We start from the raw sequence: 26,542 nt of genomic DNA, 5'->3' as shown, positions 1-26,542 counted from the left end.
GGGGTTTCACAACGTTGGCCAGGCTGGTCTGGAACTCCTGACCTCAGGTGATCCATCAGCCTCGGCCACCCAAAGTGCTGGGATTACAGGTGTGAGCCATGGTGCTGGGCCAGCAGTTATAGATTCTATTCATTTGGAAACCCAGCTCCCATTTTTGAGTGTGCATGTACTTTTATGAAGAAATGATGTCAGAAAACCGAAGGATGATAATAAATATGAAAAGTAACAGGCATGTGAAAAGGTCTTCCGATTGAGAATTATAAGGTTCGATTTCGTTTTCAGATAATGGGGTCCTAGCCCTTGTGTCATCCTTTTACATATTCTACATCAATGGAAGTTGTAGCACCGTGTCAGAATAAAGTAGAGTGTATTTCACGGTTTCTTAATTTCTTTCAATTAGACTGAGATCTTTTTCTGAAAGAGAGAAGGACATTTTCATTGCATTGTATTTTTTCTGAAAAGAGTAGGCCATATTTTACTGAGATCACGGATTTGTTATATATGACGTTTTGGTCTTCTAATATTCTCCAGTGGATATTCTCTAAAGTAGTATGTACAGAAAGCCTTGAATAGCAAAAAAGTAAATCACGTAATAATTCTGAGATTTTTGGAATTGTCACAACTGAGAAACATTGCTGGCGGTGTATGGTCCGCAAGTGTGAAGATGTTCCTTGTGAATTGCTTGCATCTAGCATTAAGGGCTGGTTTTTATCTTTTATTTTTCCAATCCTCTTTCCTTCTCAAGGTGTCCAAGACACACAGGGCCACGGAATCTCACAGGTGTCTGAGAATTCCTCCTCCTGGGACTCTCAGAGGATCCAGAACTGCAGCCGGTCCTCGCTTTGCTGTCCCTGTCCCTGTCCATGTATCTGGTCACGGTGCTGAGGAACCTGCTCAGCATACCGGCTGTCAGCTCTGACTCCCCCCTCCACACCCCCACGTAATTCTTCCTCTCCAACCTGTGCTGGGCTGACATGGGTTTCACCTCAGCCACGGTTCCCAAGATGATTGTGGACATGCAGTCACATAGCAGAGTCATCTCTCATGCGGGCTGCCTGACACAGATGTATTTCTTGGTCCTTTTTGCATGTATAGAAGGCATGCTCCTGACTGTGATGGCCTATGACTGCTTTGTAGACATCTGTGGCCCTCTGCACTATCCAGTCATCGTGAATCCTCACCTCTGTATCTTCTTCGTCTTGGTGTCCTTTTTCCTCAGCCTGTTGGATTCCCAGCTGCACAGTTGGATTGTGTTATAACTCACCATCATCAAGAATGTGGAAATCTCTCATTTTGTCTGTGACCCCTCTCAACCTCTCAAACTTGCCTGTTCTGACAGCGTCATCAATAGCATATTCATATATTTCGATAGTACTATGTTTGGTTTTCTTCCCATTTCAGGGATCCTTTTGTCTTACTATAAAACTGTCCCCTCCATTCTAAGGATTTCATCGTCAGATGGGAAGTATAAAGCTTTCTCCACCTGTGGCTCTCACCTAGCAGCTGTTTGCTGATTTTATGGAGCAGACATTGTCGTGTACCTGGCTTCAGCTGTGTCACCACCCCCCAGGAGTGGTGTGGTGGCATCAGTGATGTACGCTGTGGTCACCCCCATGCTGAACCTTTTCATGTACAGCCTGAGAAACAGGGACATACAAAGTGCCCTGCGGAGGCTGCGCAGCAGAACAGTGGAATCTCATGATCTGTTCCATCCTTTTTCTTGTGTGGGTGAGAAAGGGCAACCACATTAAATCTCTACATCTGCAAATCCTGTCCCTTAGTCACATTATTTTTGTGGCTTGATGGCTTTTATTCCTTTCCGCATTTCCTTTGTGAATATTGCTTTCTTCGTTATGCCTTTAACTGGAATGGGTGAGGATTCTGGGATCCTTGGTTTAGCAGAAACCTCATGACAGAATCCTCTATAACGAGGCGGCCTCTTTTAGTTTCTGAGAAATAACACTGTCATCCAGGTGGAATCACAACCATCTTTTTATATACACGAAGTCCTCACTTCGTTTTGGAATTCCCTGAAAACTGACTTTATGGAAACAATGCACAGGAGGTCCTCCAACACCATTGGTTGTTCAAAGTCGTGTAGTTATACTGTGGAAGAAAAATAAGTGGTTTCACTATACATAATTTTGCTTCAAGGTGAAGTTTCCAAGAGACTTTCAAAGATGTTCAGTGAGGACATACTGTACATCAAATTCATATCCTCTTCCACAGTTCATGTGGAATTTCTTTATAAACTGCTTCTAGAGAATCTATTTAGGCAGGTTATGTGTAGAGATCCATGTCGCCGTTCCTCAATCTTGGCTTTGAGTCAAATCACCTGGGGAGCTTAGAAATGATGAGGCCTGGGTCTCAATGCCTGAGATTCTGATTTCCTTGCACCTGTGTGAGTGTGTGGATTTTTTTTTTCTTTTAAAGCACCAGAGGTGGTTCCAATGACGAAGTTTTTAGAGGCGTCAAGCTCCAATGAGTAAGAACAGAAATTAATTGTAATATGATTTCTTCAAATATTATCTTCAAATGCATTGTCCATCAACACCATATAAATTTTATTATGCTGTTTTTTCTTACCATTTCGCATTTTCTATTTATTTATCTTCTTTTTTTTTGAGTCCGAGTTTCACTCTTGTTGCCCAGGCTGAAGTTCAATGGCACGGTCTCGGCTCACTGCAAACTCTGCCTCCCGTATTCAAGAAATTCTCCTGACTCAGCCTTCCAAGGAGCTGGGATTACAGGCATGCGCTACCATGCCTGGCTAATTTTTTTTTTTTTTTTTTTTTATTGTTAATAGAGACAGTGTTTCTCCATTTTGTTCAGGCTGGTCCAGAACTCCCGACCTCAGGTGATCCGCCAGCTTCCGCTTCCCAAAATGCTGGGATTACAGACATGAGTGACCGCGCCCAGCCACCACTTAGCATTTACATTTTACAATTGTTGAAGTTATAGATTTATACACACATTGATTGCTGCTTTGTTATACACTTGCATATACATAAGATTGGAAACAGAAAAGAATAAAATGGGCACAGTATCCCTAAAGTTTCACATTCCGAGGCATTTCAAAAATATTTGCTCTTCAGAAATTTGTTTCAATGAAGAAACTGTGGTATACACACCCAATGAAGTATTATTCAGCCTAAAAAGGAGGAAACTCCTCTCCGCTGCAGACAAAATGGATGAGATTGCAGGTCTGTATATTAAATGAAATAAGCCAGGCACAGAATGACAAATATTTCACGTCCTCACTTCTATGTAGGAAGAAAAAAGGAAACCTTGGCCAGGTGTGGTTTCTCAGGCCTGTAATCCCAGCACTCTGGGAGGCCGAGTCGCATGGGTCACTTGAGTCCAGGAGTTTGAGACCCGCCTGGCCAACATGGTGTAACCTCGTTTCTACGGAAAACACAAACAATGAGCCCGGCGTGGTGACGCGTGTCTGTAGTCTCAGCTAATCCGAGGGCTGAGGCCCAAGAAGAGCTTGAACTCGGGAGGCGGAGCTTGCAGTGAGCCCGGATTGTGCCTGTATACTCCAACCTGGGCAACAAAAAGAGACTCCATCCCAGACACACCTACACACAAAAGGAATCTCAGGAAGGTGGAGAGTATAAAGGTGTTTAGCAGACGCTAGGAAGAAAAGGGGTGGGATAGGGAATGAAGACAGGTGGATAATTGGGTCCCAAAATACAGAAAGATGGAATAAGTGAGTACTACTGTTTGATAGTACAGCATGAAAATTTTAGTTTACAAGAATTGCTTGCATATTTCCAGATGCTTTGGTAAGAAGCTTCCTAACTTTCTCATTATGCTGGTTTTTAAGCTCTTCTCTTTCTGCTCTTGAAATCATGCTGGTTTTTTGTTTTTTGTTTTTTGTTTTTTGTTTTGAGACGGAGTTTCGCTCTTGTTGCCCAGGCTGGAGTGTCATGGTGTAATCTTGGCTCACCACAACCTCTGCCTCCTGGGTTCAAGCGATTCTCCTGCCTCCACCTCCCGAGTAGCTGGGATTACAGGCATGTGCCAGCATGCCCAGCTAATGTTTTATTTCTAGTAGAGACGCGGGTTTCTCCCTGTCAGTCAGGCTGGTCTTCAACTCCTGACCTCAGGTGATCTGCCCGCCTCGGCCTACCAAAGTGCCGGGATTACAGGCATGAGCGACCGCGCCCGGCCCGTGCTGTATCCTTATCTGGTGTCTGTTGTTGTTTGTTTGTTTGCTTTGGAGCCCAGAAATAACTTCTCACCTGTATGTTCAAATGATTTTTCACATGAGTTCTAAGAAAGCTCATTGGTGGAAAAGCAGCCTTTTCAAGAAATGGTGTTGGAGAAACTTGATTTCCACATGCAGAAGAATGAAGGTGGACCCTGTGTCACACCACGTGCAAAAATTAACACAAACTGGATCAAAGACCTAACCCCAAGGACTAAAAGTATCATAAGCCTAAAAGAAAACATTGGCCACACTTTCATGACATCAGATTGGGCAACGTTCTCTGGGTATGACACCAAAAGCATAGGCAACAAAAGAAAATTAGATTCCTTGGATTACATCTAAATGACAGACACTTTTGTGCAGCAAAAAACACTGCAAATTCAGAGAAAAGATAACCCATGGATTAGGAAAAATATTTGCAAAGCATATATCTGAAAAGAGGCTGATATCCATCATATATGAAGAACAGCTAGAACTAAACAACAAGAAACCCAAAGCATCCCATCAACAATGGTCAGAAGACTCGAGTAGACGTGTCCCTAAAGAAGATATCGTAATGGCCAATAAGCATCTAAAATGATGTTCAAAGTCACTCATCATAGGGAAGCGCAAATCAAACCAAGAATGTGACACCACACATTAGGATGGATATGATAAACAAACAGGTATTGGTTAGAACAGAGGGAAGTAGGAATGCTCGAATGTGATCGGAGGGAATGTAAAACCATGAAGGAACCGGGAAAATAGTATGGCGTCTACTGGAAAAATTAGAAACAGAATGATCAGATGTTCCCACAGTTGCATTTGTGGGTACCTGCCAAAAAGAATTAGAAGCCAGGAGTGGAAGACAGATTTGTGTACACCCATATTCATAGCACCATTATTCACAACAGCCAAAATGTGGAAGCAACCCAAGGGTTCGTAGACAGATGAATGAAAAAGCACACTGCAGTTCCTTCATACAATGGAAGACAATTCAGCCTTCAAAAGGCAGGCACTTCTGGCCGGTGTGGTTGCTCACGCCTGTAATCGCAGCGTCTTGGAAGACCGAGGTGGGTGGATCACCTGAGGTCAGGAATTCAAGACCAGCCTGGCCATCTTGGTGAAACCCTGTCTCTACTGAAAATGCAAAAAATTAAATGAGCGTGGTGGCGTGTGCCTATAGTCCCAGCTACTCAGTAGGCTGAGGCACAAGAATCGCTGGAACCCGGGAAGCGGAGGTTGCAGTAAGCCCAGATTGTGCCACTGCACTCCAGCCTGTGCGACAGAGTGAGACTCCATGGGAACACAAAACAAAGCAAAGTCAAACGAACAAACAAAACACAAACAAACAAAAAACAGACAGGCACTTCTGACGCAGGCCGCAACATGGATGAACCTTGAAAACATTATCGTCAGTGAAATAAATAAATCCCAAAAGGATAAACAGGCCCAGGCTCAGTGGCTCGCAACTGTAACCCCAGCACTTAGGGAGGCTGAGCCAGGCGGATCACTTCAGGTCAGGAGTTCGAGACAAGCCTGGCCAATATGGTGAAAGCTCGTCTCTATTAAAAATCCAAAAATTAGCAGGGCGTGGTGGCGCACGCCTGTAATCCCAGCCTCTCGGGAGACTGAGACACAAGAATCGCTTGAACCCACGATGTGGAGGTTGCAGTCAGCCCAGACTACGCCACTGCACTCCAGCCTGGGTGACAGAGAAAGACTGTCTCCAAAACAAAAAAATTAAACAAGGTATGATTCCGCTTATCTATCAAGTGTCTAGAGTAGTTAAACTCATAGAGTTGCAAACTAGAAAGGTGGCCTCCAGGGGTGGGCGAGAGAAAGGAATGGAGAGCTTGGTGAATGGGTGGAATTTCCATTTTGAAAGATAAAACTGTTCCGGAGACGATGGCGGCGACGGTTGCTAAACAATGTGAACTTACTTAATGTCGTTAAACTGTAAACTGAAAAAGAGTGGAAACTGTAAATATTTATACAGACTATTCTCTATGAACTAATATGTATTTATAATTTTTAATATTTATACGTGGTATATTTTCCCATATTAAAAGATGAAAATTAAAGCAGTTGGATGTTTAAAAAGTAAAGAAAGAAGTGAAGAATACCCACCAGCTTTCTCCTGATTAGAGGAAGAGCCCCAAAGCTTCTATGGACACTCACTTTTCTCTTCTTCTTCTTGCAATATTATGAGGAAATCCTTAGAGGTTGGGGAACTTGGGCGACTTTGGCTAATGAGGAGCTCTGGGCCTTGAGCCCCCCAGCCCACAGAATAGTAAATAGTCTGTGCCTCCAGCCCTGCAATGTGAGGTTGCAGTCCTGTGGGCTCCACTCCCGTCACCTGTATCAGGGGGCTGATGACTCACCCTGTCTTCTTGCCAGCCTTGAGGACGGAGTCTGAGCCTCCATGGTGCACCAAGCAGGGAGGACAGTTGAACCTGTTCTCCATGGTCGTGGCCCAGCAGAGGGGAAGAGCAGTTCAGTGAATGTAGGCAAAAGAAAGTGAGATCAGACACTTACTCTGTCTATGTAGAAAGGAAAGACATAAGAGACTCCATTTTGAGAAAGACCTGTACTTTCAACAATTGCTTTGCTGAGATGTTGTTAATCTGTAGCTTTGCCCCAGTCACTTTGAACCAACCACTTTGACCCAACCTGAAGCTCACAAAAGTATGTGTTGTATGAAATCAAGGTTTAAGGGATCTAGGGCTATGCAGGACGTGCCTGGTTAACAAGATGTTTCCAAGCAGTATACTTGGTAAAAGTCATAGCGATTCTCTAGTCTCAATAAACCAGGAGCAAGATACTCTGTGGAAAGTCGCAGGGACCTCTGCCCTTGAAAGAGGCGTATTGTCCAAGGTTTCTCCTCATGTGATAGTCTGATAAGTGGCCTCATGGGAGGAGAAAGAACTGACCATCCCCCAGCTCAACCCCCATAGATCGTCTGTGCTGAGGTGGATTAGTCAAAGAGGAAAGACTCTTGCAGTTGAGAGAGAGGAAGGCCGCTGTCTCCTGCCTGCCACTGGGAACTGAATGTCTCGATATAAAACCCGATTGTACATTTGTTCAATTCTGAGATGGGAGAAAAACCGCCCTATGGTGGGAGGCGAGACATGTTTGCAGCAATGCTGCCTTCTTATTCTTTACTCCACTGAGATGTTTGGGTGGAGAGAAACATAAATCTGGCTTACATACATGTCCAGTCATAGTACCTTCCCTTGAACTTCATTATGACATAGATTCTATTGCTCACATGTTCATTGCTGACCTTCTCCTTTTTATCATCCTGCCCTCCTACTACATTCCTTTTTGCTAAAATAATAAAAATAATAATCAGTAAAAACTGAGGGAACTCAGAGGCCGGTGCCGGTGCAGGTCCTTGGTATGCTGAGTGCCGGTCCCCTGGGCTCACCGTTGTTTCTCTATACTTTGTCTCTGTGTCTTATTTCTTTTCTCAGTCTCTCATCCCACACGACTAGAAATACCCACAGGTGTGGAGGGGCAGGCCACCCCTTCAAGTGAGTGCTGAGGGACGGTCGGGAGCCTTGTTTGTTTCCTCATTCTCAAGACAAACAGGAGAGTGCGGTGGGTAGATGGGAGGAGACCAATATGCAACTCTCTGCTCAGCAGACTGTGGAGTTTCTGTTCTTGGTTGTGGTGGGGGTCTCAGAAATCTTATTCAAAATTTTGCTTTCCTCCCCCACTGGTTGTCCTTTTCATAGATATCTCACCCATGATAGCAGGGAATCAGTCCCTCTAAACTATTCCCTAAGAACAACAAAAAGATTATGAAGGTGATGATGAGGATAAAGAGGATGACGACAGACACCATGGCATCATGAACCCTTACTGAGGGCTTCCTAAAGGCCAGGCTCTGAGTTCTTTGCTGTATGCAGCATATTTCATTTCATCTGCTTAGTCTCCATGTTATTAGTGCACATTTCAGGATGATTTTACAGACTAGAAAAGGCGCAACGGATTTTCATGTAGCTTGTACCAGATCACGAAGTCAAAAAGGGCGAATTCCAATTTGAACCAGGCAGTCTAAGTCCAGACACATGGCATTTGGCCAGTCCTCTCCCTGCAACCAACCGGCCCTCTCAAATCCTTGTCACTCAGGCCGATGCCCCTGCTCACTGTGCCCTTCCCTTTGGGGGTTCCTTAGAGACCAGAGCTAGACCAGTGGGTGCCACAATCACTGTGTCATGTATAGAGAGGGCAGCTGAGATCACATCAACGATTCCAGAAAGAATTGGCACAGGATCATTCGGGATGCATCTCTCCCTTGCCCTGTTCCTGGCTTTCCTTACAGCTCTGGACTTCCTCAAAGGAGTCACCAATTCGGAGTTTGGCTTCCATTCCTATTGAGGAAGATGGAAAGTGTTTCAAAAATGCTCCTCCGATGTGCCTGTGGTTAAGACTTCTTAGCTCTGCTTAAAACTTTTTGACGCTGGGTACGGTGACTCACACCTATAATCCCAGCCCTTTGGGAGGCTGAGGCAGGTGAATCACAAGGTCAGGAGTTCGAGACCAGCCTGGCCAACATGGTGAAACCCTGTCTCTACTAAAAATACAAAAGAAAAAAAAATTAGCCAGGCATGGTGGCATATGCCTGTAATCCCAGCTACTGGGGAGGCTGAGGCAGGAGACTCCTTTGAACCCGAGAGACAGAGGTTGCAGTGAACCGAGATCACACCACTGCACTCCAGCCTGGGCAACAGAGCAAGACTCTGTCTCAGAAAAATAAATAAATAAAAATTACGAATAAAAGTGCTTGGATGGGCTTGGCAAACTTTAGCCATTAGCTCATGTACCACTTTGGAAGGGCATACCTTCAGTCACTTCACCCTTTAATCTCTTTGCTCAAGACTAAAGTTCTGAGAGGAAGTCTAATCGGCTGAGTTGTGTCCATGTGGGCAGTGCAGGAAAGGATGCAGCGGGAGGCGGCTCCAGGGACGTCTTTGGCTTCCATCATGGGGGAGCAGGTGCCTGAATTATCCACCCTAAGAAATCTGGACAAAGGAAAACGAGGTTCTCTGAGGAAGGAGACATAGAGCCCAAGGAGCTAACCAAGAGACAAATAGTCATCCTGTCTTGTCATTTTCTTTTACACATGTGTGTACATTATCTTACACTTATTACTTGTTTTCTTTCTCTCCTTTAATTGCACCCTGCTGCAAAAGTTAAAATAAAATGAAAGTATTGAGATAGCTCAACAACTGACTTTTGGTCAATTGCCTTTTCCTATAGTGAACAGCTGCGCAGACGATTGTCTCTGTCACTGTGCAAATTTGCAAGCATTTGCATGATCACTCCCAATCCCCCATCACAGGGCTGTGTTACAGCACAATTTAGTTCAGTGTTTTGCTCTCTGTAACAGGGAGGTTCTCATCCATTACACGTTGCAGTAAAAACAGGGGTACCATAAGCAACCACCTCTTTCCTCAACGATGTGATGAAAGCAAAAGCCAAGTAGCTCCATGTATCCAACTTAAAAATACAAAAATTACGCCCGTGGGCTGCATTTGGACCTATGGCGGTGGCAGCTGTCACTGGGCCTAGCCCGGGGTGTGGACCTGGGGACTCCCAAGAAGGGCCTGAGGAGGAGGCTCACGGAGTGTCGGCGGAAGGCGCACAGGATGCTAAAGCTTTACAACGGCCTCTCGGAAGGGGAGTCGGTGGGACTCCCCACGGGGCCCGACCCCCTGGACCCCACTGATCGGAACGGGGCGCACTTCGACCGGGAAGTTTACCTAGACAAGCTGCCTAGAGAGAGTCCTCTGGCCCAGCTGATGGACTGTGAGACGGACATGGTGCAGCAGATCCGGGCTCTAGACAGCGACATGCAAACCCTGGTCTATGAGAACTACGATAAGTTCATCCCAGCCACAGAAATTGACAAACAGCATAAAACTGTATGAGGATTTGCAGGAAACCCAGAATTTCCCAGATAACCTTGTAAAAGAAGAACAAAGTTGGAAGACCCATAAAAAAAAAACATATATATATATATACACATATATATATACATATATACGTATATATATATATACATATATATATATAAAGTTGTATTTTCGTTCTGTTGTAAATGTTTAGTAATTTCTATTGTGATTTTTCATTTAACTCATGAAAGCATATTTTTAATTTTGCAAATGTGTGCTTGTGTTTAGCTATCTTTTTGCTGCTGACTTCTAATTTTGTTGTATTGTGGTCAGGAAAATGTGGTTTGGACAAGGTCAATCGTATAGTGGATTTTGTTGAGACTTCTTTATGGCCTAATATGTGGCCAGTTTTGGTGTTGTTGTTGTTGTTGTTGTTGTTTTGCAAATTTGCCACATGTGGTTAAAAGGAATGTGGATTATTTGTTTTTTGTTTTTTTTTTGGAGAGTTTTTATTTTTAAATAGATAAGGTTCTCAGTGTAATTGAAATCTAGCTTCAATTAACAATATGCTAGATCTCTCAAACCTTAGGATGTTAGTCAGTGTAACAATAGACTGCTGCTGAGACGAATAAACCCTGAACTCTCAGTGGGTTGGCACCCATAGCATAGTCTGGTGTAGGGCAGGGGTTCTCCTTGGCGGCCCTTGTCCAACATTGATTCAGAGATTCTGGAGGTTTCCATCTTTTAATTCTGCCATCTCAGAGTTTTTCACTTGTAGCCATATGGATAGGAAGAGAGGGAACATAGCTCACACTTGCCTTTGATAACCTTGGCCCAGAAGTGATTTCTTACATTCGTATTGGTGGGAATGCAGTCACATGGTTCCAAACTAACTGCGAGTGAGGCTGGGAAATGTAGTCTTCCTGCATGTAGAGGAAGAGGAATGGTGTGAACACAGCATTGTCTTTGACACACTAAGCATGTGCTGAAGAGTTCTTAGTCTCATAGGAGGTTTGTCTGTCCTGTGTAACTTTCTCAGTTTTTGCTTAGATAGTTTCAGGCAATGTTGTTTGGTGCATTCAGCTTGATGATTATTATGTCCTCTTGGCAAAGTAGTCAAGATTCCCATCAGTTTGAATGAAAGTGTTTTACAGATAGATCAGGAAATGTTAATACTTTAAAAGGCCCTTCTATTCCTCCACTGTACAGATAAGAACAACAGAGTCCTAGAGAGAGGAGGTCATGGGTCTCACTCATGAGTGGCAGAATTGAAACCAACATGGCAGTAACTTTGCCTTTCCCCCATCATGTTGTTCTCCCTCTATCTTCACTCTGCTGATTTCTTCACTTGCTCCATACAGACCTCCCAGTGCCAAGTGTATAAGTGTGTCCAGAATTGGTGGGTTCTTGGTCTCAATGACTTCAAGAATGAAGCCGCAGACCCTCCTGGTGAGTGTTACAGTTCTTAAAGGTGGCATGTCTGGAGTTTGTTCCTTCTGATGTTCAGATGTGTTCGAAGTTTCTTCCTTCTGGTGGGGTTTGTGGTTTTTCTGGCTCAGGAGTGAAGCTGCAGACCTTCATGGACAGTGTTACAGCTCTTAAGGCTGCACATCTGGAGTTGTTCATTTCTCCCGGTGGGTTCATGGTCTCGCTGGCTTCAGGAGTGAAGCTGCAGACCTTCACGGTGTTACAGCTCATAAAGGCAGTGTGGACCCAAAGAGTGAGCAGCAACAAGATTTATTGCAAAGAGCAAAAGAACAAAGCTTCCACAGTGTGGAAGGGGACCCCAGCGGGTTGCCACTGCTGACTCGGGCAGCCTTCTTTTATTCTCTTACCTGGCCCCACCCACATCCTGCTGATTGGTCCATTTTACAGAGAGCATGAGTGGTCTGTTTTGACACGGCGCTGATTGGTGCATTTACAATCCGTGAGCTAGACACAAAGGCTCCCCACGTCCCCACTAGATTAGCTAGATACAGAGCGTCCACACAAAGGTTCTCCAAGTCCCCACCATAATGGCTAGATACAGAGTGTCTATTGTTGCATTCACAAACCCTGAGCTAGACACAGGGTGCTGATTGGTGTGTTTACAAACCTTGAGCCAGATACTGAGTGCCGATTTGTGTATTTACAATCCCTTAGCTAGACATAAAGGTTCTACAAGTCCCCATCAGACTCAGGAGCCCAGCTGGCTTCACCCAGTGGATCCCGCACAAGAGCCGCAGGTGGAGCTGCCTGCCAGTCCCTCTCCATGTGCCCACACTCTTCATCCATTGGGTGGTCAATGGGACTGGGTGGCGTGGAGCAGGGGGCGGTGCTCATCTGGGAGGCTCGGGCCGCACAGGAGCCCACGGAGGGGGGAGGCTAAGGAATGGTGGGCTGCAGGTCCCGAGCCCTGCCCCGCAGGGAGGCAGCTAAGGCATGGCAAAAAGTCCAGCACAGCAGCTGCTGGCCCAGGTGCTAAGCCCCTCACTGTCCGGGGCCGGTAGCTCCTAGCGCGGGGCTGCCAAGCCCACGCCCACCCGGAACTCCAGCCGGCAGGCAAGCAGCGCGTGTAGCCCCGGTTCTGGCTCACGTCTCTCTCTCCACACCTCCCTGCAAGCTGAGAGAGTCAGCTCCGACCTTGGCCAGCCCAGAAAGGGGCTCCCACTGTGCAGCCACGGGCTGAAGTGCTCGTCAAGTGCCGCCAAAGTGGGAGCCCAGGCAGAGGAGGCACCGAGAGCGAGCAAGGGCTGTGAGGGCTGCCAGCACGCTGTTACCTCTCATAAGGAGTGATTAATCTGAGCTTCTCCAGAAAGTCCATTCCTGGTGGGCACTGGGAATAAGAAATCTCAGAGTATTAAAAAAATCAAGTGGTAGCACTTTTGCGAATGGCTCCCAAATTAGATCCTTTACTTTTTTTTTTTTCATGAAGCACGGTTGCCCAAAACACACTTAGCCTGAGATGAAGCACATATTAGAGAAAGGGTCTCTCTATAGCATTATGTATTACTCGAATGAGCATTAAAAAGAGGAGATGTGACATGCTCTCTCTAGCTATTATTACCTGCACTATAGAGTTGACATACACAAGCTCATTATTGCATTTTGTTTTATTCAACAAAATAACTTTAATGTTGAAGCTTAAATTGAATTCGCTAAAACATCTTTGTCTCCAGCATACTGTGCCTCAAGTGTCTTCTTGGTGTCTGAATTTTCTCCAGAATTATCGTGCTGAAGCTATGGAAATGGTGAAATTATATGCAATCTGAAAAACAATGTGGCTATAACATGGTAATTGGCCTTCCACATAATTAAAGGAACATTTCCTCATCAGAGCTGTTCCATCAGAGACCCAAAGGCTATCGTTGTACAAATCACCCACTTAGGAAAACCTTTATTCCCAGTAGCCTATAAAAATCTGGTTATGCAAACAGATTTGCTTATTCAGTAACATTAATGGCTTCTCATATTTAAAAAGTCATCAATGTGATTGGCCTATAATCTGTTTCCTCTGTGACCAAGTGTCATTTTTATTTTGACAGTTAGGAGCCTTTTGACTCTTTCACAGCTGGCATGAGGCACAGGGAGGGAAATCTCAAAAACCAACAACCTGTGTATTCCCAGCCTATTCATCAATAGAAAATCACTTCAACTGGATTACGGTCTTGTACCTGGCAGAAAGGCTGTTATGGACATTGGAATTGGATTTTTACACTTGATATGACACCTCCTTGAGTCAGATCAGATTCGTGTTTGATAGACTCTTGCCGAAAAATTGCTCCAGGGTCTGTGCAGTAGCTAAAGCCTTTTTGTTGTTGTTGTTTTAAAAGCAGCATTAAATGTTTTCATGAAGACCTTCCCAGCAGTTATTTTATTGGGAATATGGTCTTTAGCTCTGGTCCTGAATAACTCACACTGAGGAAACCTCTAACAAGTGTTTTATTGGAAGATGTCTGATGGATGGTTGGTTTTAATAACAAATCTCTTCCCTTTTTCTGTCCCCTGTGTTCTATTCTCCTTTCTCTACACATTATTCTGGGAGGATTCACCTATTCTCAAAGTCCTTTCCTCTTTATTTCCATTCCAGAGCTCTCTGTATAACTCCAGGCTGATGAATCCAACGGCCCAGTTGTTATCTCTACTTGGCAGTCTTTCTTGCATTGACCTCATCTTACCTTGCCTCTCCTGATTTCCTCTTCTGCCAGGGCTCACCACGTCAGATTCACACCACCATCCACCCAGCGTCCAAAACAGCTGGGCCTCCTCCTTCATTCCTCCCTCTTTCTCAGTCAAGTTAGTCTACTGTCTCCTCTCCATCCTCACTGCCACAGCCTTGGTCCAGCCAACCATCTTGTCTCACTTGGTGTATTGCAGCCTCCTACCTGGTCTACTTACCTCCCACTCTCCTCCAGCCAGGCTGCTCTTGTTCTAGCACAAAGTGGATCATTACTCCCCTGCCTAAAGACATCTACTGTCTCCCTTTGTCTACAGGATAAACACGACAAAGAGCCTTTAAGATTTGGCTCCAACTTACCTCTATATTAGTCACTTTTTATAATTATATGAACATCTCTCAGCTCCTCACCCTCTCACGTCTCGATTTGTGCACATGCTCTTCCCTCTGCTGGGAATGATCTTCCTCACCTCTCCTATCGACCTGGCTAGTTCCTACCATTTTCTAGTCTTCAACCGAGGAGTCCTGTGATGGAGAAGGATTTCTCATCACCTGATAGAGATTGCATGCCCACCCACCTCCAGGCTTTTATTTATTTATTTGACAGAATTTCGCTCTGACCATGCAGGCTGGAGTGCAGTGGCGCGGTCTTGGCTCACTGCAATCTCTGCCTCCCAGGTTCAAGCAATTCTCCCACCTCAGCCTTCTGAGTATCTGGAATTACAGGTGCCCGCCACCACATCTGGCTAATTTTTTTTTGTATTTTTAGTAAAGACAGGATTTCACCATGTTGGCCAGGCTGTTTTCGAACTCCTGGCCTCAAGTGATCCACCCACCTTGGCCTCCCAAAGTGCTGGGATTACAGGCAAGAACAACTGCACCTAGCCAATCAGGTGCCCCTTCTATTTGCTGCCATTGCCCCAGGCATACTTTCACCATAACTCTTACCATTCTGAGTTGAAAATGATTTTTTTTTTTGCTTTTTATTTCTCTCATTAAATGCAAAGCTCATTGAAAAGAGGACAGTGGTTGTTCACTGTTGTACTCCTAACCTTTGACTCAGTGTCCTGAGGTTGGCTCTAGAGCTGTGCACACATGTTCAGACATTGGAGCACATCTTGTCTAGCACCTCTTTTGAGGTGGCTTGGAGAAAAGTCAGTAGGTACCTCCCTAAGGATGAAACAGAAGCTTCACCTAAACCAGTTTTTCAACTTCAGCCTGCATTAGAATCCTCTGACAGCTTGTTAAAAATACCGTCTCCTAGAGCCCACTCTTCAAGAGTCGGTGAGTTTCTTCATCATCAAAATATATACAGAATTCAGGCAGTCTTCAGTGCCAGCCTGGTCTGAGCCACTATGGACTCCCACCTGCAGAATCTCCCTGCTGGTCTCCTTGCTTCTGCTATTACCTTCTTATTACCCATTCAAGTAGCCAGGGTGATCCTTTTAAAAAAATTTTTAAATTTGTTTGAGATGAAGTCTCACTCTGTTGCCCAGGCTGGAGTGCAGTGGTGCTGTCTCAGCTCGCTGCAACTCTACCTCCTGGGCTCAAGCCATCCTCCCACCTCAGCCTCCTGGGTAACTGGGACCACAGACATACACCGCCACACCCGGCTAATTTTTGTATTTTTTGTAAAGACACGGTCTTGCTATGTTGCCCAGGCTAGTCTTGAACTTCTGTGTGCACCCACCTCAGCCTCCTGCATTTTTAGGAGGCCCCTCTTGTAGGGATTTTGATCCAGAGGCCTGGGTGCCTCATGTCTCCTCCCATCTCTCTCTGTCTTTCTGTCTCTGTCTCTCTTTCTCTTTGCCTTATAGCTGCCCTGGGGACTAGACTCTGCCTTAGGCATCCCTCTGACTCTTGTTTGCTTTTACACTGAGGCTGCTTTAAGTGGCACCTTGATCCGAAGTCTTGGACTTCTGTTCCTATTCCTTGCTTTTGTCGGAAGGGCCGTGCAGCTTCTTGACAAATTGCAAAGGTGCCCACGAGTTTCCAAGTCCCCAAGAACGAAACCAGATGACAAACAAAGATGCAGCCCACAGCTGGGGAGACAGATTTCATGTCCACACAGAGACTCCAAGATGCTGAACTGAAATCCACCCTGGAACCTGTTTTCTCTCTCATTTAAGTTCAATGTCAGCTGGGGGCTTGCAGGGCAGGGCTGGTGACCATTCTCAGGGCAAAGATGCTTTGAAAGGGCAACTGAGAATGGTGTGGTGGTTGACAGATGGCACGTCAGAGCATAGATTAACATGGAAAGAGAAACTCAGCCCTTGGGGGGAATGTGTGAGGCTGGCAGCCACACAGAGGGCTTTTCCTGCGAGCTCTTGCACAGATGCAAACAGCCAGGAGGTTTTGCTTTCTGAGCCTGAGTGGAAGCATGTTCCTCCCTGCACATTGCCGCTCTGCAGCAAATGTTTATTCCTGTTGCATTGATTAAAACTGCTTACCAGGCCGGGCACTGTGGCTCACGCCTGTAATCCCAGCACTTTGGGAGGCCGAGGCAGGCAGATCACAAGGTCAGGAGATTGAGACCATCCTGGTTCACACGGTGAAACCCCATCTCTACTAAAAATAAAAAAAATACCCGGGCATGGTGGAGGGCACCTGTAGTCCCAGGTACTTGGGAGGCTGAGGCAGGAGAATGGAATGAACCCAGGAGGCGGGGCTTGCAGTGAGCCGAGATTGTGCCACTGCACTCCAGCCTGGATGACAGAGCAAGACTCCGTCTCAAAAAAACAAAGTGCTTACCGAAGGGGTTTGAGGGCAGTGGTGACAGTGTGTATTATGGCTTTGCCGGCTGCCAGTGGAGCCAGCCGCTCTGCACAGCCGTGCAAGTGTGTTTTGAAAAGTGGCTCAGCCAGCCAGGAGTGACTGGCTGTAAATATTGCTGCCACAACATCTTGTAGCCTGATTGGGGCCGTGTTTGCAGAACCCCTAAACCACTACACTTGTTCAGGCTTAAAAATAAGCTTACTTTTTTTTGTTTGTTTTGTTTTGTTTTATGAGATGGAGTCTTGTTCTGTCACGGGGTTGGAATGCAGTGGCATGATCTTGGCCCACTGCTACCTCTGCCTCCTACGTTCAAGTGATTCTCCTGCCTCAGGCTCCCGAGTAGCTGGGACTACAGGGGTGTGTCATCATGGCCAGCTAATTTTTGAATTTTTAGTACAGACGGGGCTTCATCATGTTGGCCAGGATGGTGCGATCTCTTGACCTCGTGATCTGCCCGCCTTGGCTTCCCAAAGTGCTAGGATTACAGGCGTGAGCCACCGTGCTTGGTCAAACATAAACTTACTTTCTTACCTCTTCTGCTGAACTCTGTTTGCTTCTTTTCTCAACTTCTGCTGAACTCTATTTTGCTTCTTTTTTCTGGATAAAGCTCTTCTTTATCCAGAAGAGCTTTTAGCAACAAAGTTACCCAATGCCCTTCCCTAGTCTCTCCTTGCAACAGGCGGGGAGCGGGGGAGGGGGGGAAGGGGTTGTTAGGAGGAAATCCTTGACAGAACCAATTTACATGACTGTTTGGAGGACTCTGGCTAGCCCCAGGAGGTGTTTGCATTTTTAAATTGGTTACTAGTGTCAGAATGTTTCATGAGTAAGAGCCCAGCCTCTATGTTGGATGCCCTGAATTTGAATCTCAGCATTGCCGCTTTGTATATAACCAGAGGATGGATTGGGGGACCTAATGGATCTACCATGACATGAACTTGCACCAACATTCACCTGACCTCCAAAATGCCTATTCTGACTGGTAGACCCTAGTCTCATCCTAGTGCCAGTTCACAGCCTGTGTCCAGTGATCCTGCACAGGTCCATTAGTTCCTTTTCTCCTGTTCAGTCATCCTGGTAAAAGGCTGTGTATTCCCTTGGAGGCAGGCTGGGAGAAAGATTGACAGTATTAATTTGTGGCAGTGGAGCAGTGTCCTTTCTGCAGGGGACCTGGCTTCCCATTCAGACAAGGGAATCCGGGTCTGTGAACTGGCTTATGTCTGGGAATTGACTGGGGACTGTGACTCTGTTTTTATGATTCAGATTAGACTTCTGCTCACCTGATCTAGAACTCTTCTGCAAACACAGATCCAGTAAAAATGTGGCAGGCTTCTTATCTATTTCACTTCTAGGAAAGCCACGATCAGCTGGCACCGTAGGTCTCTGAGAGTCAGGCTATGCTGGTTGCAGCTTTGACTCTGCTGTCTTTTATGGTAACTGCATCCACCTTGCCTTTGGGGATTGAGTGCTCTGATCACTTGGCCCCAGCCCCTGTAGTGTGCGTATGTCACTTACCCTCTTTATACCTCAGTCTCCTCCTCTGTAAAATGGGCATCCTAATAGCACCCACCCCCAGGACTGCTGTGAGGTATAGATGGATTAGCATATGGCAAGTAATAGAAGAGGATCTCAAAGTCCATGTGTCGTTATCAGAATTATTTCATGATGGGGAGAGCTGGAGGAGAGAGGAAGGTGCTGAGCAGACCCACGTGCTCTCCCACCAGTGTTTCCTGAGCACCTACTATGTGCTGCCCACTGTGAGAGCTGTTAGGGTTGAAATAGGGAGCACAGCAGGGTAGGGGCTGCCATCAGGAGCTTAGTGGGGAGACCGTTGTGCAACATGGTTCCAGCACTTGGGGTGGGGAAGCTCAGGGAGTACAGCGGCCTAGGATCCTGGGCAGAAACATGGAAAGGACACAGCCGCCCCAGCCTCTCCTGCCTCCCCTGCCTCCCTGGCCTCCTCTGCTTCCCTGGCCTCTCCTGCCTTCCTGGCTTCCCCTTCCGCCCTGGCCTCCCCAGTCTCCCCTGTCTCTCCTGCTTTTGAGGTGGGCCAGGAGCTGCTGGTGCTCACTTAGCCTGTCCTGGACTCTGGGTGTAGCACTTCGATGTCCAGAAAATACCCCCCAGTTCAGCCCATCACACAACCTAGGAAGGAGCTCCACACTGACACTAAGGGTGCATCCTGGGCTCATTCATCAGGGCATGCCTCCAAAATACTTCTCCACGTCTCCTCCCTTTGCCCACCTGCATTGTCTCTGTGCCTCAGCCCCAGCTGGAGGCCTGCAAGGATCCCCTATCTCCTCTGCCCCTGCACGGCTCGGTCCCAGGCAATCTGTCTGCCCACCACACCTTTCTCCTCTTGCCCACCACGCTCCAGCCCCACAGTCCTCTTTCTGCTTCTTTCCCAGCCTCTGGGCTTTTGCACAGGCTGTTCCCTCTGCCTGAACACCCTCCACTGGGCTGAGAACAACTCTCTGAGGCCTCTCTCAGCTGTTGCTTCCTTTGGAACAGCCGCTGCTGCTGTCCCTCTCCCAGCTCCAAGACCTGCTGAGCCTCCTGTCTTTTTCAGTTCCCATGCCCCCAGCACTTCTTCTTGGCCTCCTTTTGCCCAATTGACAATGTCCATTCTCAATGCCTTCCCACCCAGCGCTGAGCCCCACTGGGTGAAGGCAATGCCTGTCATGTTCTCCACAATATCCCCTCCCCCATCACCACGCCTGGTCCACAGTGATGCTCAAAAAAGATCTGTTGGTAGGCAATGGGAAGGTGCATTCATGTCATCCTGCAGGCGGAATTCTCCACGAGTTTTGAGCAGCCTCGGGTTTCCCACCACCTCCAAATCATGGAAGACACAGGGTAAGAGCAAAGACAAGGTGGTTGTGGCCGATGTCCACCATCTCGGGGCGTCCTTTCTCTTCTCTCCTCCTTGGGCAGGGAGACCATCGGGTGCAACCTGGCTGGGGCGGGGAGGAGGTGCAGGGCCTGGCCAGAGCGGGCCTGGCCACAGGCAGGGGACAGCGACTGCTTGGGCCTGGGCAGGTGAGAGCCGGGCAGGCCAGTACCCGGCGTGTCCGCGGTGCGCGCAAGCGGCCGGCAGAGGGCGTCAGAGAGCCAGGAGCGGCCCGCGGAGGAGCCCGCGCCCGCCGGGATGCCCAGCCCCGCGCCGCGCTGACCCACCGAGCCCTCGCTCAGACGCCCCAGCTCCGCCGAGAGGCCGCTCGCGCCGGGTCCTTCCTCTTCCCCAGGTGCAGGCAGAGCCCCCGGAGTCATGGCCAGCCCTTCCGGCAGCTCCGAAGCCACTGGCAAGCCCCGAGGCAGGGATGGCCGGCCCAGGAGGGAAGAGGACGACGTCCCTCCCGAAGAGAAGAGGCTGCGGCTGTTGCTGGAGGGGGGAAGCGCAGAACCTGAGGACTGCGAGGACGGGGAGGACGTGCCGCGGCCAGGCAGGGAGGAGACCGGGACCCAGACAGGTGGCGACGGCAGAGGAGTAAGTGACGCGGGCGCGGAGGTCCAGGGGTGCCAGGGGCGCGGGGTAGGGGCGGCGGGAGGCTCCGGGGCCGGCCCTGGGTTGAAGTTGGTAATTGAGCGGCAAGTCCGGCGGGCGCGGAGTGACAGCTCGTGACGGCCTCCGAGACGCCAGCTGCCCCTTCTCGGCTGTGTGGCTTCGACTTCCTGATTCTCCCACGACATCCCTGGCCGGGAGATCCGCTGGACTCTGTGGCTGGCCAAAAGGAGAGGGGGAGCCCCGCGTCCTGGGGGCCCCTAGCAGGGGAAGGGGCGGGGGTTGCCCCGGGCATCCTGTCTGGGGCATCTGTCTGGGATTCTGTCGGTGCCTCTCACCTGGCGAGGGGCCTGTGGTGGGGGTAGGGGGGAAGTCCCTGGCGCCAGGCTTGGCCAAGCCCTGCTCTGCTGGGCTGCAGGCTGGTGGCGCTCACCCAGCTCCTCACCTGTCCCGCATCTTCCTGTTTTTCTTCCCTTTCTGGTTGGGCAGCGAGAGTTGAGAGGAGGCAGATGGCTTCCATCCCAGAAATCGCTCTCCTCTTTCCATCCCTACAGAGAGGGACAGAGAGGCAAAGTTCCTTCCATCCCCCGGGGCGCTGTCCCTGTGAGCTCCCGGTGTCCTGCACACGTGGGCCCCTGAGTCACCGGGCCTGTGTGTGTGGGATGGGGCTGCGTAGCCAGGCTGGCCTCCTGGGGTTCACTTTGTGCTTTCCTACGCCTACTCTTCCTGTGTGGCTTTGCTGGCCTTCCACTGGGGAGGCACATGGGTTTGGAGGGCAGATGAGGACCCACTGGAGAGCCGTACCCCTCAGTGAGGGCTGCCACCTTGATGGTTTTTGATGGATAATGGGGTTGACCTCTTTGTTCCTTCCACATGTTTTTATGTTTGACCATTTGCTCAGCTGAGCTTGTCTTAATAATTGGATTCGTGGTTAATGAGCCCCACATGGGAGAGAGGGCGGCCTTCATTCTGAACCCATTTAGGCAGCACGGGCAGCCCTCCTCGCCGTGGGCTGCATCAGAGCCCCCCTGCCCAGTCTTGGGGTTGCTCCCGGATGCTGTCTGGGAGGCTTGCTCATGGTGACATCCTCATCTCCCTGTGCACGTTACTGCATTCAGAGCTTGGGTCACCTGGACACTGAACTCAGGTGAATTTTCTCTGAGATCCCGGGAGAAGGAGGACAGTTCTTTCGAAGGTTCTCCAGGGCCGATCACGGAAAGGATGAGAAGAGAGAGGTCCTGGTCGGGGACACAATTACGGTGGCAGTGTAACGCCGGGAAACTCTATTGCATGAAGTCCCTCTCACTCCCTCTACCTCCCTCTTTTACGTGGACTCTGCCAAAGACCAGGATACCAGAATGCAGTGGAGTGACCAAGTGTAGTGGGACCTTGGGAACGCGAGTCTGAAGCCAGGCGGCTGGGGTTTGCATCCTGGTTCTGCCCCTCCTTAGCTGGCTGACATGGCACAAGCCACTTACCCTCTCTGAGCCTTACTGTCTTCAGTGGCAAATGGATCTGTCAACAGGCCCCATTGCCTGGGGTTGTTACTGCTGAGATTAAGGGAAGCTCGTCCATAGAAGCACTTAGCGTTGTGCCTGGCACATAGTGTATGGTGGATAAATGAGACTTAGGACTAAAACTCATGCCCTGGTGTGTTTTTGCAGTGATGTTTTGTTCTGGGGTGCATCACAAGAGACAAGGTTCTTGGCTGGGCATGGTGGCTCAAGCCAATAATCCCAGCACTTTGAGAGGCCGAAAGGGGAGGATCGATTGTGCTCAGGAGTTTAAGACCAGCCTGGGCAATATGGTGAAGCCTCCTATCTACCCAAAAAAAAAAAAAAAAAAAAAGCCAGGTATGGTGGTGTGTGCCTGTAGTCCCAAGTACTTTGGAGGCTGAGGTGGGAGGATTGCTAGAGCCTGGAATGTCGGGCTGCAGTGAGCTGTGATCATGCCACTGCACTCCAGCGTAGGTCACAAAGTGAGACCGTTTCAAGGAAAAGAGAGAGAGAGAAACAGACAGACCCACAAGAGTCTTAAGCCAGAATCTTCATGTTAAAATGCTTTCTGGAGGCTAAAAGGATGATATGTTGATAATGAAATATTTAAAAGTCAGAAACCCCACTGAATTGTTTGGTCCACAGAGGGAAATGGGAATCGCATGACCTGAAGGATGATGGAGGAACTGACCAGAAACCATCCTTGTTTCCTGAATCTGAATATGGCACACTCTTTTCACGGTGCCTGTATCTGCTCAGTCTGGCGGCCCCTTGAAAAGAGGGAATCTTGATTTTCAAACTTAAAAGTTGGCCCAAAGCCCACTGCTGCCCACAATGCCCTCCAGACACATTCCTCTTCCCTTTTAGTTCCTATGGGAATACTCTCTTTGAAGAACCCATGAAGCAGTGTCAGGCTGGTACGAGGATCAGCAGTGATTTCTTTGAGGAGGAGAGCCCGTTTCTTCACTCACAGGCCATGTCTGAGTGGATCAAGAAGAACAGAGTGCCCTTTTATGAGATTTTGTCTGCGTAGACCATTAGCTTGGTAAAAATGCCAAAACCATCCTCGTTCTTTAATAGCAGATTATTTTGGACTTTTCTCTGCAAGAAAAGCAGCATGGGCATTCAGATGCTTTTAAGGATAAAATGTTCTTTCTCATCACCAGGCCTGGTGCTCTGGATGGCTGAGGTTTTAATGTGACTGGATGTCCCTTGGAGTGGCTCCTAGGCTGTGCTCTTGTGGTTGGGTGGCAAGGGGTTGCTTTATTAGGTGGTGCCTAGAGGATGTTTTAGAAGGTAAATGGGGACCCCAGGAGCCCCTGAGTGCCAAGTCCTGCTGCAGGGCATGTGTTTATGGTGGGGATGTGGAGGGTGGGGGCATTGATTTCCTGCCAATATCAGAAGTTTCACAGGCTTCTTGTGTATCCACAAACACCCATCCCATTGAGAAGGCCTAGAAAACCTGGCCCTCCCCAAGCCTTTATTGACCGCTTGTGAATGATACCAGGGTGTATCTGACCAACAGCTCTTCCTGGAGGGAGAGAAAAGTCTCTCCTAGGTATTTGGTTATCAACCTCAACCATTTGCTGAGCCTTCCCCAAGACCAGGCACCTTGGCAGAGATTTCTGGGTTGTCAGGCAGAATGGAGCATTCAAGGGTGATAACTCACTGCAGTCCCTGAAATCCCTGATGGATGCACCAGGTAAAAGCATCCAGGGTTGAAACCAGATGACGAAGGTTATTGTCAGCCTGGGGCTCCTGTAGAGGTGCATCCACGTTGCAGGGATTTCCCTTCTTGCTGAGGAGAAACCTGGGTTTCTCAGCTTTGGCACAGTCACAACACTTGGGGTGAGACCATTCGTGGTGGTTGGGGGGGGGCATCCTGTGTATTGTAGGATGGTTAGCAGCATCTGTGGTCTCCATCCTCTAGGTGCCATTCTACCCTCCCGGCTATGGCTACCCCAGATGTCTCCAGACGGTTTCAAATGCCATGGAGCAAGGGAGTGGTACGTGAGCAAAACCACCCCAGTTGAGAGCCATTGGTCTACACTTGTGGAAATGTTTGAGGGTGAGAGTGTCGAGCTTGGGTCCCTGCTGTACCCTTTATGAGCAATGCGGTCTTGGAAAATTAATAGTACTCCAGGGGCCTCAGTTTTCTCATCTATAAAATGGAGATAAATGAGATACACTTTCATAGGAAGGTTATATGGGATTTACTGAGATAATAACACAGTACATGAAAAATGCTGGGCATAGCATTTATTTATTTATATGTCTTTTAAAGATGGAGTCTTACTCTGTTGCCCAGGCTGGAGTGCAGTGGCATGATCTCCGCTCACTGCAACCTCCACCTCCTGGGCTCAAGTGATTCTCCTGCCTCAGCCTCCCGAGTAAGTGGGATTACAGGTGCCCACCACCACACCTGGCTAATTTTTGTATTTTTAGTAGAGATGGGGTTTCACCATGTTGGCCAGGCTGGTCTCAAACTCCTGACCTAAGGTGATCCACCTGCCTCGGCCTCGCAAGGTGCTGAGATCACAGGTGTGAGCCACCACGCTGGGCTGGGCATAGCATTGTAACACAGACAAAGCACAAAATACTTGGGCAATATCTTTTTACATTTAGCTTGTCTAGACTCCATCCTCCATTCCCTCATGCACTGGTGTGGTGCAGACCAGAATATCACCCACCTAGACTGCAGAGTGTATTTGGGTGGCATCTTGGCTTTCTGCACAAGACTTGCCTGTTCCCCACCACATCCCCCTGTTTCTCAGGGTCCAGGATTCCAGGAGGCAGGGATGTGGGCAGGCAGGGTAGGTGGCCCACCCAGTTCCATCCCACGCTGGGGACCTGCAGAGCTGGCTGTCCGAGACAGGGTGTTTGGACCAACATCTGGGTTTCTGGATTTCCATTTGAGCACAGCTGGACTACACAGGCTGAAGCTCTCTCTGCCGAGATATAGATATTTCCCTGGTGACGATCTTTCAAGCTGACATGAAGACATGGCCACCCACTGGAATGTCGTGTGTCTGCTGTGGCGCCCTTGTAATTTGTGAGGCAGGCTCCTGAGGAATGCAGTGCATAAGTGGGAAATGGTGGGAAGTTCTCCCATCCCCCCCGGACGAAAGTGCTGCCTGCGCAGGTTGGTGGACGGTCCTTTGAGCAGGAAGAAGACATGAAGCACATTCCTGTTAGCTATGACAGAGAGGGGCAGGGTACACACTGGACATTTCGCACCCTTCCAAAGAAGCAAGTCTTACTATGCTGGGAGTACTTGTGGAGTGGGGGCTGTGTTGCCCTGGGCTTTAATTATTTCAGGAACATTTAACCACAGGGCAAGCAGGCTGGATCTTGATATGTGTTTCTCAGTTGGAAAGACTTTGGACCATAGGGAGATGTCTTCTCAATTCTTTTAATTTCATTAAGGTGGTCATTTTTCTTCCCGTGGCCTCTGGATTGTGACACAGAACTCAAGGGACAGGAAGGAGATGAGTTGGAGGCTGGGACAGGGGTCCCTGCCAGGGATGCTGGTGACTCACATGACGGTGTTGATGTGTGGAGTCCAGTGCCTGGTTTGGGGAATGTTCGTGGGATATGTTCCAAAGGACCGACGGACCTATCAGGTACTGGAGGTGAATGGTCAAGTCTGATCTCAGGGCTAACAGTGTCTGGAAAGGACAGGAAGTTGATGTTGGACTCATTGGCTGAGGTTGCTGGGGACCTAGGGGGCAATGTGTGCCAGGACAGATAGTTCTGGGGCTAGGAAGGCAGGTTTGGGCTGGAGACCTGGGCTTGGGAGGCATCCCAGGTGGACAGTGGTTGAGGTTGTGGAAATGACCGTGATTGCCTGGGATGAGAGTGGAGACAGACAAGATGGGGGTTTTGCTTTAAAGCCTGGGGAGCCCACCTCCCAGGTTCAAGATATTCTCCTGCCTCAGCCTCCCAAGTAACTGGGAATGCAGGTGCGTGCCACCATGCCTGACTAACTTTTGTATTTTTAGTAGAGATGAGGTTTGGCCAGGCTGGTCTCAAACTCCTGACCTCAAGTGATCGGCCCACCTTGGCCTCCCAAAGTGCTGGGATTACAGGCATGAGCCACCATGCCTGACCATTTTTAAATATTAATTTTTATGAAATATTTTTAAACACATTTTACTGTACATTGGAATAGTCAAGCATGATTTGAAAACTTTATCAAAATCCAATCAAATATCAATTAACCATTTAATTGTGGATAAGTAAGGAGACTGTTTTGACCAGAACATGTTAGAACAATTACCACTTATAGAAATAATCTATGTTTTAATGTTTTAATGTTTTAGTTGAATTAAACAGTCTTTTATATTCTGTCCAGGCGCAGTGGCTCACACCTGTAATCCCAGCTACTTGGGAGGCTGAGGCAGGAGAATCGTTTGCACCTGGGAGACAGAGGTTGCAGTCAGCCGAGATCGCACCACTGTACTTCAGCCAGCCTGGGTGACAGAGCGAGACTCTGTTTCAAAAATAAATAAATAAATA

The 26,542-nt window shown here is 48.2% G+C and overlaps 1 pseudogene, besides 4 other annotated features; it reads left to right on the top strand.

Annotated features, from left to right (window-relative positions):
• The window catches only part of OR7E160P (olfactory receptor family 7 subfamily E member 160 pseudogene), a 37,035-nt pseudogene continuing 11,196 nt past the window's right edge, over window positions 704–26,542 (top strand).
• Window positions 3,591–4,090: an enhancer, noted in NCBI's record as "H3K4me1 hESC enhancer chr8:11888763-11889262 (GRCh37/hg19 assembly coordinates)". NCBI's record gives its function as "activates a minimal SCP1, AML or CMV promoter by ChIP-STARR-seq in primed H9 embryonic stem cells {active_cell/tissue: H9 hESC(primed)}" and the evidence as "EXISTENCE:reporter gene assay evidence [ECO:0000049][PMID:30033119]".
• Window positions 12,525–13,057: an enhancer, noted in NCBI's record as "H3K4me1 hESC enhancer chr8:11879796-11880328 (GRCh37/hg19 assembly coordinates)". NCBI's record gives its function as "activates a minimal SCP1, AML or CMV promoter by ChIP-STARR-seq in naive H9 embryonic stem cells {active_cell/tissue: H9 hESC(naive)}" and the evidence as "EXISTENCE:reporter gene assay evidence [ECO:0000049][PMID:30033119]".
• Window positions 19,189–19,719: an enhancer, noted in NCBI's record as "H3K4me1 hESC enhancer chr8:11873134-11873664 (GRCh37/hg19 assembly coordinates)". NCBI's record gives its function as "activates a minimal SCP1, AML or CMV promoter by ChIP-STARR-seq in naive H9 embryonic stem cells {active_cell/tissue: H9 hESC(naive)}" and the evidence as "EXISTENCE:reporter gene assay evidence [ECO:0000049][PMID:30033119]".
• Window positions 21,007–21,668: an enhancer, noted in NCBI's record as "H3K4me1 hESC enhancer chr8:11871185-11871846 (GRCh37/hg19 assembly coordinates)". NCBI's record gives its function as "activates a minimal SCP1, AML or CMV promoter by ChIP-STARR-seq in primed H9 embryonic stem cells {active_cell/tissue: H9 hESC(primed)}" and the evidence as "EXISTENCE:reporter gene assay evidence [ECO:0000049][PMID:30033119]".

This window comes from Homo sapiens, chromosome 8, assembly GCF_000001405.40.
Source record: "Homo sapiens chromosome 8, GRCh38.p14 Primary Assembly".
NCBI classification, from domain to species: Eukaryota; Metazoa; Chordata; class Mammalia; order Primates; family Hominidae; genus Homo; species Homo sapiens.
Note: the sequence above shows the minus strand (reverse complement) of the source record. Positions and strands in the feature narration are given on the sequence as shown.